At 45.4% G+C, this 12,899-nt stretch overlaps 1 protein-coding gene across 23 annotated transcripts in view, besides 1 other annotated feature; it reads left to right on the top strand.

The window, feature by feature from the left end:
- Nucleotides 1-12,899, top strand: part of ME3 (malic enzyme 3) — a 237,687-nt gene that overhangs the window by 182,655 nt on the left and 42,133 nt on the right. For all 23 annotated transcript variants that reach the window (NR_172888.1, NR_172889.1, NR_147828.2 and 20 more), the window contains one exon: nt 2,522-2,625. Coding sequence is in view for 10 of the 23 variants with exons in the window: in NM_001395868.1 (NP_001382797.1) it covers nt 2,522-2,625 (104 nt within the window). In the remaining 13 variants the exon portion in view is untranslated. The remainder of the gene's footprint in view (nt 1-2,521; nt 2,626-12,899) is intronic.
- Nucleotides 5,301-5,595: an enhancer, noted in NCBI's record as "tiled region #11231; HepG2 Activating DNase matched - State 9:DNaseU, and K562 Activating DNase unmatched - State 8:EnhW". NCBI's record gives its function as "activates a minimal TATA promoter and a strong SV40 promoter by Sharpr-MPRA in HepG2 and K562 cells {active_cell/tissue: HepG2 | K562}" and the evidence as "EXISTENCE:reporter gene assay evidence [ECO:0000049][PMID:27701403]".

Below are 12,899 nucleotides of genomic sequence, written 5' to 3'. Positions count from 1 at the left end.
AGGTCTTAAGCAGGCTGCTTCACCTCTCTGTGTCTTGTTGCCTCATTTAAAAAATGGGGGAAACGATGAGACCTACCTCTCGGGTCCTTTGAGAAATAGATGAGTGAGAAAGGTACTGGGGAGACACCTGTGAAGAATAAAGGGGGAGGGAGTGGGAGGAGTTGGGGGTGAGTGGGGCCTTCAAACTCTAGTACAGGTCAGACACCTGTGAAGGGAGAGCAGAAGGGAGCGAGGACTGAGTAAGAGAGCCCAGGGAGAGTCTCCCCAGCTCAGTCAGGCCAGTGAGAAGTTCCTGCCCCAGCAGAGTCTCGGTTGGGCAGGAATGGTTTCCCCCACACCCCCTCCATGCTCAGTCATTAAGCAATCCAGGGAGAGTGTGGCGGCTGAAGGCTGTCCACCAATTGCCCTCCCTCAGCAGGTTCCCTTAAGATAGTTCTGAGCCACACACCTCCATGGCTGACACAACCTCATTGGGTTAAGTAAAGCACTTAGGGCAGTACATGACACATTGGAGGCACTGTGAAAGCTAAAACTGCTACCACTGTTTTATAGCATATGTTATAATTCACCAAGCTCTTTCATATATATTTTTCCACTTGATCATCACAATCATCCCCATGCAGCCCCTATTTTATCCCCATTTGATAGATGAGAAGAAGCCTTCAAGAGGCCCCACGACTTGCCCAAAGTCACACAGCTCGCTGTGGTGGAGGTGAGACTTGATTGTAAGCCCCCGAGGGTCGGAGTGTAGGCCCACTGGTCCTTATCTTTGTGTCCTGCAGCAGCAGTTCAGATGGAGATGAAGACAACACAAAATCCTGTTCTCTAGGAACTTATATTTTTGGTGAGTTAGACAAAAAAGTAGATAATTCCAGGAAACTAACCCATGGAATTACCTCCCATTTCCCAAATACACCAGGTATTTCTTCCTCCTGCCTCCAGCCCTCAACCTTTCCTTGTGCTGTCTTCTCAGCCTGGAGGCCCACCTGCTGAAATCTGCCTATCTCTTCCTACCTGACCATTTTCTCCATGACACAATCCCAATCTGCCCCCCAAAGGGAATTTCTTCACTCATCACTGTGCCTCCATGTGCCACACTTTGTTCCAAACCAGCGTCACTCTGCCCTGCAGTATAATGTGTCTGTTTACTCAGCAGCCACCTGTCAGCACCTAGAAGGCAACAATCATTCCTTGCTCCTCTACAAATCCCCCACTGGGCCCAGTGTCAGCAATAGTACATGAGAAATAAATGTGTCATGCATGAATGAGTCCACTGACTCTGTGTAGGGGTGGCAGGAATGGAAGACGTGGAAAGTTGGCCAGCAGGAGTGGTCATTCACACCAACGCACACACAGATAACCCAATAGCGTATGACTGCTGTGATGGAAGGAGCTGCAGGAGGTGGGGTGGAGGGGCCCTGAACACAGGCTAGGTGTTAAGGTGAGCATCTCTCTTGAACTGAAATTCCTGGTTGTTTCATTCTATGCTTGTATCCCCAGGGCCCAGCACAATGTGAGGCACATGGTAGGTATTCAGTAAGATTTCAAGGAGGGAGGGAGAGAAGTAAGAGAGGAAGGGGGAGGAAAAGAGAGGAATGGAAAGGAAAGGAGGGTGGGTTGGTTTTCTAACATGAGTCCAGACCAGGGACTCTGGATGCGACCCAATACTTCAATGAAATTCTGCCTGAAGTCAGCTACAGTGGTTCTCAACCGGTGACAGTTTTGTCCCTAAGAAGACCTTTGGCAATGTCTCAAGACATTCATTTTTTCTTCTTTTTTTTTGAGACAGGGTCTCATTCTGTTGCCCAGACTAGAGTGCAGTGGCACAATCATGGCTCACTGCAGCCTTGGCCTCCCAAGGTCAAGTGAGCCTCCTGCCGCAGCCTCCTGAGCAGCTGGGACCAAAGACATACACCACCATGCCCAGCTAATTTTTAAAAATTTTTTGTAGAGATGGGGTCTCACTGGGTTGGCTAGGACAGCCTCAGACTCCCGGGCTCAAGAGAACCTTCCACCTTGGCCTTCCGAAGTGCTGAGATTACAGGCGTGAGCCACCGCATCAGGCCTTGAAGTCATTTTTGATGGCCACAACTGCGAGTGTTACTGGCATCTAGTGGCTAGAGGCCAGAGATGCTGATAAATATCCTACAGTGTGCACGTCAGGCCTCACGTTAAAGAATTATCCCAGCCAAAATGTCAGTAATGCCACTGTTGAGAAATCCTGAAATAACCCTAAAGCCTGCAGACAGAGGTTGAAAGACTGTGTCTGACAGAGGCTTGCCTGGTTCAAAGCATCCTTGGTTTCCAAAATGAGGACCATCTAAGAGTCCAACCTCAATCACTGGCTTAGCCTCCAGACCCTTTCAGAAATGACACCTGGGCGGGGGGGATCCAGTTACCTTCTTACTCCCCCCTCTCCTCCCACCTTCTGGTTCTTCCTAATAATCCTGGATACTTGTTGGAAAAAAAAAAAACAGGAACACCGGGAGTAGGCTCAGTCAATGGGTGCTGTCTGTTCCAGGAGCTGCTCAGAGACCCTCTGTACATCGGCCTGAAACACCAGCGCGTGCACGGGAAGGCATACGATGACTTGCTGGATGAGTTCATGCAGGCTGTGACAGACAAGTAAGTGGACCAGTCTGTCCCTTTTGAAAGAGGACTTTTAAGAGATGCCGTGACTAAAGTCAACACTGGTTTTGGCTGATATACAAAGTAAAGGCAGTAGATGCATGCTTTTCCAGGTATTCTGAAAATTCCAACTTGACCCCTAGGAGTGATAAGACTGGACACCAAATGGGCTCATTCTCTGAGAGAATCCCTGGGAGCAGTGAGGGGAGGGAATGAGAGGGTTGATGGCTGAAGGCTGTGATCTGGAGGTAGTTAAGTATCATTGTCCCAGGAGAAAAACCCCCTTGGCCTGAGCTGTTTAGGGTTCTCAGCACAATTAGGGATGTTGCAAGTGATGGAGGAAAAATGTGTGCCCTTCTGATGAAATGGCTTTGGAAGGCAGCTTGTCACATTTGGTTATTTTCCACCTCTATGTGAGAACAAGGAAGTGTTAATGAGGCACTGTGGCAGACCACACGGGCTCTGGGCCTGCAAGATTTATGAGGTGTCATCTCTTCACTGGGGAAGCTTCACAGTACTGGCAGCTTCCACCCCACTTGCCTGCCCCATCTGTCTGCCATCGTGGCCACCCGCTCACACTGCTGTGGCTGACGTGCCGCTGGGATGGAGGCCTGATGACAGCCCTCACACACCCATGTTTACTCTGAGAGAAGAGCTGGTCAAGCCAGAGTTTCAGCAGCTCAGTGGGCCTCTGAAGACAAAGCATGTTCCCCTCTCACTTGCAAATCTCCAGCCTTCTTGCTGCCTGAAGATTGCACAGGTTTGGCAGAGATGGCCTGCCCATCCTTGGCAAAGTGCTCCCTTGTCCAAGCTCAGCTTCTCCAACCAGAACAGTGGGCTGGAGCCCACAAACTCTGCACAAAGTCTCATCTGGGTGGGCTTCAGGGGTGGGCAAACTGTAATTTGACCTTTGACCCCTCCACTTTTCAGATATGTGACCTTGGGCAGGTTACTAAACTTTTCTGGGTTTCCTTATCTGGAGATAAGAAAAGAGTTTTGTTGGTGTTGTGTTTTGTTTTTTAAGATGAGAGCAAAATAATATTGTGGTTATATAAGGTGGAAATGATCCTGTCAAAAGACAAAATGAATGATGGACTGTAGGATGGGGGGAAAAAGTCCTTGAGTAAGCAAGCAGGAAAAAGGATCCAGTGCACACCTGAAGAGCTTAGTCTTGGAGCACAGAAAATCATCCACAGGGAGAAAGGGAAGGCAGAGTACTGGGCACTGATGGGGCAGGTGGGTAGATGTGGTGGTGGGAGCGAGGGGGAGTCCCATCTGCTTGAAGACAAGGACATCAGCATAGAGTGAGGATGGGGAGGTTTAAGGATAGAGGAAGTGGGACCTAGTTATCTAGGAGAGTGGGAGAATGTCCAGACTGGGAAGCTGGATCATGATCACTGGGCAGCTCTCTGGGCCCCCTTGGGGTTACTGTTTATGAATTTAACTTAAGCTAGTTAACCTGTTTCTTGCTTCCTCAAGCCAGGTTCAACTGTCTGGGTCCAAGGGCAGGAAGACGAAGAGAGCAGGGTGTAATCAGGGTTGGGGATTTTGCCAGGCAAGAGAAAACGGGAAAGAGCAAGGAGTTGAGAGTCTATTCAAGGGAATGATTATAATTGTATCATGAGCTCTAGGCTGGGTAAAAGGGGAGAGAATGGGAGGACGTGGTAAAGGGGAGGGACAAGGGACAGTGAAAGGGTGATCAATGGATAGTAAGTCCTGGTGAGGTTTAGAAACTGTTGAGTTGGATAGTACGTGGAATAAGCTGGAAAGAAAGGAGGTGGTGATCAGAAAGTTAGATGTTTGCAGCTAAGATTATGGAGGAAGGGCTGCTATTGGGATATGGCCACTAAATAAAGCAAATTCAAGGGTCAGCTGCATTAATAGAGGCATAGCATCTAGGACAAGGGAGGTGAATGTCACAATTCATTATCTCCATTTCAGAAATCCTGAATACCACATCCAGTGCTAGAGAAGCTACATTGAGGGTTAAAAATTACCTAAAGTGCCTTTGGAGTGCAATAACTACGATAGTGAAGAGAACCAAAAGCTGAGCCTGGTAGAGAGAAGACTCAGAGACTGCTCTGTCTATGTCAGGGACGTGCTAGTACCTCCAGATTCTAAAAGCTCTTCTTTCAGAAGAGAATTGGACTTGTTTGTATGTATCTACATGGAAAAGAACCAATTGGTGGAATGCTAAAGGAAGCACTTTTCAGCTCAAAATAAATCAGGGCTGTCTCACATTGCACTGGACTGTCTGTGGGAATGAGTTCCCTGTCACAGAAAGAGTTCAAGGATAGGTTGCATGGCTTATTTGTGGTGATATTATAGGAAGGAATTCAAGCATCAGATGTTCTTTAAGCTGCCTTCCCACCCCAGTATTCTATTCTAACCTCTTAAAAAAATCCTCTGTAGCCAACCGGATAGGTATTATTATTCCCATTTTATGCAAGAGAAAACTGAGACTCAGAGAGGCCAAGTTAGCTATCTCAGGTCACACAGTACCTGTCAGGACTACAAGCTGAACCCAGGACTACTGACTCCAAGTACAGACTCTTTCTACAATGCTGTGTCACCTGTGGATGAAAAGAGAAGGGAATGAAATTGGCTTTGAAAGCCCACTTTTTGCTTCCTGTTTCCAGGGCTCACTGCTTATCTAATGAGTCAGTAATCATTCTGTGATTCCCCACAGAAAAGTATTGCTATTCGTGTGAGAAGGTTAAATAAACTAGGATGTAAGAAGCTGTTCAAACTATCCTCAAAATCAGTTCACAGTTTTACAGACACACACACACAGGCAGTCCGGGAGCGGGGGGCGGGATCCTTGGGGAGGGGCATGCGTCAGCCAACAGGAATGTGTCATTAAACAGAAAACATGATGGATTGATGGTTGGTTGTTTTGACTTTCTAATAAGCTATAGCAGATGTTTCTGTGGATACTGTAGGTGGGGAATGAGCTGGTCTCCCCAAGCACTCTTGGGAATACAGTAGCTCCAAGACAGAATGCCCAGCCTGGGGGTGAGTCAGGAGTTCCAAAGTCAAACACAATGTATTTTAAGAAAGAACCTTGGGAAATGTTGACTCCTGCTTTCAACATCCTCATCTCTGTCCAAACATCCTGCTAATAAAAAGCTCCACCTTCCTACCCCTACCCACTAATGGGGATGTATGTTAAGATTTTTTGGCCTGAAATAAACTTACTATGGCTCAGTTCCTGCCGTGGAGCTTGGCCACTGAGGAGAACCTGCCAGGACAGAAGGAATCTCCATTTAGTCTGTGAACCACAGCAACAGACAGCTGGGAGTGTCCTTCTCAAAGCTGAGACAAAGACTGATGGCAAGGACTGATTGCCCCACTCTTCCCGCTCTTTCCCTGTCATGCAGTGGATGGGTGCATTGTACCCGGGCACCACCTCCTGCTGTCACGAGTTTTCCCTGATGGTTTCCATTCACATTTTTCATTTCTGTTACTTACAGTAGCAAGGATGGGAGTTGACTGTGTTCTGAGTTTGCACCTGGAGCCCTAACTCTGTCTGATAATTGGCCTGGGCTGGACAGAAACTTGATGTCAGCAGCAGCTTTGGCCTTTAGGCAGGCCAGGAAAGGAAATCACCCGCTTCTTCCCTAGTTCCCAAACCCTAAATACAGGGATTCTTAAGCTGCTTAGATGAGAGTGTTAAAGAAGGGAAATAATAAATAAACCTTTTTAAAAAGTCATCTACTTTTTAGCTCTAGGAAAATTTTTTTTTTAGTCTCTCCATTTTGTTGTCTCTGTGCATTCATTCATTCATTCTCTCTCTCTCTTTCCCCTCACCATAATCACACACACACACGTAATCCCTGAGATACACACCATATTGGAAATCACAATTTCTCTATTAGTGCTCTTTGTAGAAACTTCTAGTTTTCAGAGAAATTCAGACAGCCCTTGGCCTCTCTGATATCTGGAGCCAGTTACCACAGGCCCACTCCTTAATGTTACCTTCCACACTTGATGTGAGCCCCTGTCCTTCCAGAGCCAACCCCGCTTGCTCCAGCATTCATTCTCTGTGTCACTTCAACCTAAATGGGACTCCTCCCATTCCATCTCTCCTCTGCTACTCATCCCACTTGTTTCTACCTTTACATTTGGACGGCTACCCTAAAGGTTTCTGTTCAAATATACGTACTGTCAAAATGACTAGATGTCTCTACTGTGCCCTGATCAGATTTACAGGGATCAAAGGAATTGTTACTTGTCGGGCCTTTGTGCAGAGCAGAGCACCAAAGTTAAAGCTAAAAACAAGGAGATAAGATTCCAAGACTGTTCACTTGCCTCTTGATCTGTGGTGTCAAGGAACACATCTGTTTCTTTTGCTGTGTTAAAAAACCATCCTAAATCTTACTGGCTTAACATTTTATTTGCTCTTGATTCTTGGAAGCTGAACTGACTCAGCTGGAGTGATTCTTCTCCTGGTCTTGCCAATGGTCACACATATGGCTGCTTTCAGCTGGCTAACTAGCTGGGAGCGGGCTCAGCTGGGACACTGGAAAGGTTGGGCTCCTCTGTTTTTCCATTGAGTCTTAGGGTCTCTCCTTCTTCACATGGCCTCTTCTCTTCACAGGATAGCTGAACGTTTTACATGATAGTCTAGGGCTCCTAAGAACACAAGAGTGGAAGCTGCCAGGCCTTCTTAAGGATGAGACCTGGAACTGGAACAGTCTAACTTCCACCACATTATACTGGTTGAAGCAAATCATAGGTCCATACTAGATTCCAAGGGAGGAGGTTATACAAGGAAATAAATACTAGGAGGTATGGTGCATTGGGGGCCACCAATGTCAGAGACTGCCACACCCTATCTAGCCTGGGTAGGATGAGGAATGGGGCAGCCCTCACTATAGGAAGGCGTGAGAAAAGAATAACTCAGTTACACAGATAAGCAGGGGAATGGTATATAAAATCAATGAGCATGTCTACCTAGTACCTGCTGTACACCAGACACTGAGCCAGGCATAGTGAGCAATACACAGAGAAATAAACAGTCCTCCTCTCAGAGAGCTACATAGTCAAAAACATTTCGTATGTATCTATTGAAGTTTAGATAACCTGAGACTCTACACTTTCTTAGCCTCTAAGTGTCTGTGTAAGTCTGGAGCTCAAGAAGAGTTCTGGTGCAGAAACATAAAGTTGGGAGTTGCCAACCCATAGATAGTATTAATATCAAGGGAATGATTGAGATTTCCCAAAGAGAAGAGAATATGACTCACCATGGTTTTCTGAACTGTGTCCTATGGATAACTGCAAGTCAAAGTGCTCAACAAATTTTAGGACTAGACTAGGATATTGTTGGTAAGAATGGCAAGGAGGGTAAAAGGTTTCATTCCTTGTGCCAGCTCTGATTGCTTAGGACTCTGAACCTCTCTGGGTTCAACAGGGATGAGCATCATGGTTGATTAGCAATGTCTGCCCTGAGCATGGAATAAGGGGTGGCAGCAGTGTGCTATCCTTTGCCCCCTTTGGAGCTGTGAGGAGCCTTGTGACCTAAGCATCTGTGACTCTGTGAGCACTCATGCCAGCTGATCCTGCAACTCCCACAACTAAATAGCAACTCCGAGGCTAAAGGAGGCTCTGGGTTATTTTTCTCCAGGTGTTCAGGATATTTCAAGAGCTAAAGTAGGCCTCTATTTTAGTCCACATGAAGCTGCAGCTGCTTCTTCTGAGTTACAAAAACATGCAGGAATATGCTCTCTTGGGTACACTCCACCCCCACACCCACTCCCAATACACTCTGGAGCAAAGCAGTGGGTCTAATATGCTAATACTGACCTATGGTTCCTAAATCTGGCTTTGCTTCTGAGTCATCAAGGAAACTTGTCAAGAATACAGACTTCAGGCTCCTATGCCACAGAAGGCCTGGGTTGAGACCTGGACATCTGTATTTTTGAAGCTGTCCTAATGATTCTCATAGAGCTGTGCAAAGACTGAAATTTGAGAAACTCTTCGGCTGAGCACAGTGGCTCACACCTGTCATCTCAGCATTTTCGGAGGCCAAGGTAGGAGGATTATTTGAGGCCAGGAGTTCAAGACCAGCCCAGGCAACATAGTGACACCCCCGTCTCCCAAAAAAAAAAAAAAAAAAAAAAAAATCAGCTGGGTGTGGTGGCACTCGCTTTTATTGCCAGCTACTTAGAAAGCTGAAGCAAGAGGATCACTTAAGCCCAGGGGTTTGAAGCTGCAGTGAGCTATGATGGTATCGCTGCACTCCAGCCTAGGCAACAGAATGAGACCCTCTTAAAAATAAAATAAAATAAAAAGAGAAACTAATGGACCACATCCCCAGAAGAGGCAACTTGTGCGGCCCCAGCTCCTCCCACTTTCAGAGTCAGACTGAAGCCCAAGGTGAGGGTGTAAGGACCAATACACAGAGACTTTCCACAGTTTTATCAGCAGGGACCTACATTAGGAAAGACCCAGTGTGTTCTCTGAGCTCACCCTGCCATGGAGGTCTACCTTGCAATACACCTACAGCTCTGGCAGCTTCCTTTTAGTCTGGAAACTTCCCAAGCAGAGCTGTGCCCATTGTTTCTGCTGGAATCCCCTTTGCCCTGAGGAACTTCAGCTGCTTTCATGCGGGGAATAATTGCATTTCTACATGTGGGGAAAGCACTCACACATCTGGGTACCTCGGCCCCAAAGACACATCGTGGGCAAGAATCAGGCCTGCCCTTCTCCACAAGCAGGCACATGTTGGGCCTGATTCCCCACAAAGTGCCTTGACTTCATGACAGTGAAACGGCCTGCTTGGGAAGTTTCTGGACAGTGAGCTTGGAAGAGGGAGATGGCAAACTCATTAGTTAGGTAAAGACAGTGGTGACTGCCTTGTTTGGGGAATTTCTTCTAAATGGCTTCCTGTGAAAGTACACAAAATCATATCACCTTCCCAAAAAATATGCCTATTTGGGAATTTGACTCTTCAAACTGGAAAGGGTATACTTATCCCGTGAGGGAATACATTTTGCCAGCAAAGAGATAGAAACAGTAGGTACTGCAACCAAAACTCTGGGAAGTGAGCTTTATTTTCATAACAGATGAGAAAACTCATCATAGAAGCTTGAAGCAGCACTAACAAAGCATGTATCTGATCATGCATTTCCAGTGCTTCTGAATAATGACTACATATCCAACATTCTACTAGGCACTGTAATGAGATTCAAAAGAAATAAAAGACATCAGCTAGGCCAGGCGCGGTGGCTCATGCCTACAATCCCAGCAATTTGGGAGGCCAAGGCAGGTGGATCACTTGAGGTCAGGAGTTCAAGACCAGCCTGGCCAACATGGCGAAACCCCATCTGTACCGAAAATACAAAAAAAAATTAGCCAGGTACAGTGGCACACACCTGTAATCTCAGCTACTCAGGAGGCTGAGGCATGAGAATTGCTTGAACCCAGGAGGTGGAGGTTGCAGTGAGCTGAGATGGCACCACTGCACTCCAGCCTGGGCGACAGAGTGAGATTCCATCTCAAAAAAAAAAGAAAGAAAAAAAGACATCAGCTGTGTCTTCAACAACCTTACAGTCCTTCCAAGAAGACATTTTTGAATAGAAAATAATTAGGGAAGACTTCAGTACCCAACTATTTGGTGTTGACCCTCAGTTCAATGGAAATTCAGAGAAAGGGACAATCAGGGATGATTGGGAAGAAATGGAAGTTGTACAAATTTAGGACCGAATTCAAGTAAGCAGCAGGAGAAAAAATGATGTTCCATATAGAAGGTACATCATGAGAAAAGCAAGAACACAGGAAAAGCAATGAATATACAGGGAAGGCAATGAGTATCTACAAGAATGGGCCAACTAAAAATGAATGTTCAGTGATTTTAAATAAGGTTAAATAAGAATGGTGCTGGCTACATCTATTATTTAGGTTTCTCCAGAGTAACAGAACCAATAGGATATTAGGTATTTAGATACTTGAGAGTGGATTTATTATGAGAAGTGGCTAACGTGATGATGGAGGTAAAGAAATCCCATGATATGGTGTCTGCAAGCTGGAGAACCAGGGAAACTGGTGGCATAGCTCAGTATAAATCCAAAGTGGGGCCGCTGGTGCACATCCTGGAGTCAGAAGGCCAAAGAGCCTGGAGTTCTGATGCTCAAGGGCCGGAGAAGATGGGTGTTCCAAATTCAGAAGAGAGAACGAATTCACCCTTCCTCTGCCTTTTTGTTCTATCTGAGCCATCAACCAACTGGATGGTGCCTGCCCATATGGGGTGAGGGTGAATCTTCCTTATTCAATTTACTAATACAAATACCAGTCTCTTCCAGAAACACCCTCACAAACATACCCAGAAATAATGCTTTACCAGCTATCTGAGTATCCCCTAAACCAGCCAAGTTGACACCTAAAATTAACCATCACACTAAGATAGGCCTTGCAATCCAGGCAGAAGGTCATGATTATGAGAGCTCAAAAGTGGAAGGGGCTACAGTCATCTAATGCAGTGGTTTTTAAACCAAGCTTCCCTGGGCCCCAGGACTCCAAAGAAGCATATCAGGAGTGCTAGAAATGAAATACTTTCCACCAACCATAAAAAATGTAAACCACTTGAGGAAACACTTTATTGTTTTTCATTGCCTTCTATATCTGGTTTCTGCTCAATATTTTATTAAAGAATTATTCTGCAAAAAATGTTTGAAAATTACCAATCCACAAAATACCTTATTTGAGACTTGATGTAGTGAGCAATAGGGAGGCATGGTAGGTTCTTGAGCAACAAAAGTATTGTATTAAAATTGACAAGATGTGGGAAGAGATTAGAGGCAGAACCCATAACAATGCCCCAATTCAAATTCTGCCTTCCCTAGGGAAATCTACTCTGACCAGCCTGGCCTGATACTCTTGCCCTGACTGTAATCTTACTGGCTGTAGAATTCATTTGCTAATTAATTAATCATGCACTGCATTGTGACATCTCTGCTAAAATGGCCTATTGCTTTTCTTTAACCTTTTTTTTTTTTTTTTTTTTTTTTTGGTCCTTAGGCTTTCATTGTCAGAGGAGAGATTGGGCAAAGATGAGTCTGGACTGTTGTAGAAGGGTTCAAGAACTGGCGTGGATGGCCTTTATAGATCATTCCTATCTCAGGGCCTATGACTCAGTAACATCTCTACCAATGGTAGTTCCTAGGAAGCGTGGCTTTACTCGTGCAGTAAATGGTGAGGGTGGGAGTTGGTTGATTGGTGGGTGGTCAAAAGTCCACACCAGGCTAGCTACCAATTAGAATAGACTGAAGGCTATGAATCTGACCACATCTGAGGAAGCACAGAGGAAGGAAATTTGACACTCATTCTGGCTTGTCTTGACTCTGAAGGAGCAGAACAGTTTCCCAGTTTCAGCCTGATATGGCTCATTGTTGACAGTCCAGCTCCCCCATGTTCTCAGAAGAACAACAGCCAGATTTTGCATGGTGACAAACTCCTATGCATGCAAGGAATCTGTCCTGGGTCACAGGCTAGGAGACTATCAAAATGCATACTAGCACCCAACTCTCTAGGACATTTTCACTTCCATCGCACCAAGCAGACTGCATAATTGAGTGAGTTTGCAGTTCACTAGTTAAGGTCCAGCCTCAGGACTGAGGCCAAAATGTGCTGGAAGAAACTCACTGCCTCGGGATATGATTCAATGACACTAGCTGGCTATTTCCTTTTCATTTTCTCTTAGCAGCCTGATTTTATCGCTTGGTATCAAGAATAGGAACAAAATCATCCCCAGAACTGAAACTTTTAGATTATGGCAGAAGAGATGAAGGAATATAAGGGTCTTATGGGTGGCGGGGAGCAGGGATCTGATCCCTTTCAATGAATAAGTACCAATAATAACAATAATAACTCTTAATTATTTAATTGCTTACCATAAGCAGACACTGATACAAGCACTTCACACAATATTAACTTGTCTAATTCTCACAACAACTGTATGAGTTAGGTACTATTCACTTTATTTTAAGAGATGAAGAAACTGAAGTTTACAAAGTACAAGTACCTCATCTAAGAAAGGGGAGCCTGATTAAGACCCTACCCACTAACTGCAATTGTTAAAAGCACGAATTCTAGAGCTAGACTGCCTGAGTTCCAATCTCTTATTAACAAGCTACTTATTAACACTTATCAACGAGTGACTTAATTCATCTGTGCCTCAGTTTCCTCCTCTCTAAAATGCATTTTTAAGACTGGGAGAGTACTTATGATGGATAAATGAGGCCATCCATGTAAAATGTTTAACATACACCTGA

This window comes from Homo sapiens, chromosome 11 (assembly GCF_000001405.40).
Source record: "Homo sapiens chromosome 11, GRCh38.p14 Primary Assembly".
Classification (NCBI taxonomy): Eukaryota; Metazoa; Chordata; class Mammalia; order Primates; family Hominidae; genus Homo; species Homo sapiens.
The sequence above is the reverse complement of the archived record's forward strand: the minus strand, read 5'-3'. Positions and strand labels throughout refer to the sequence as shown.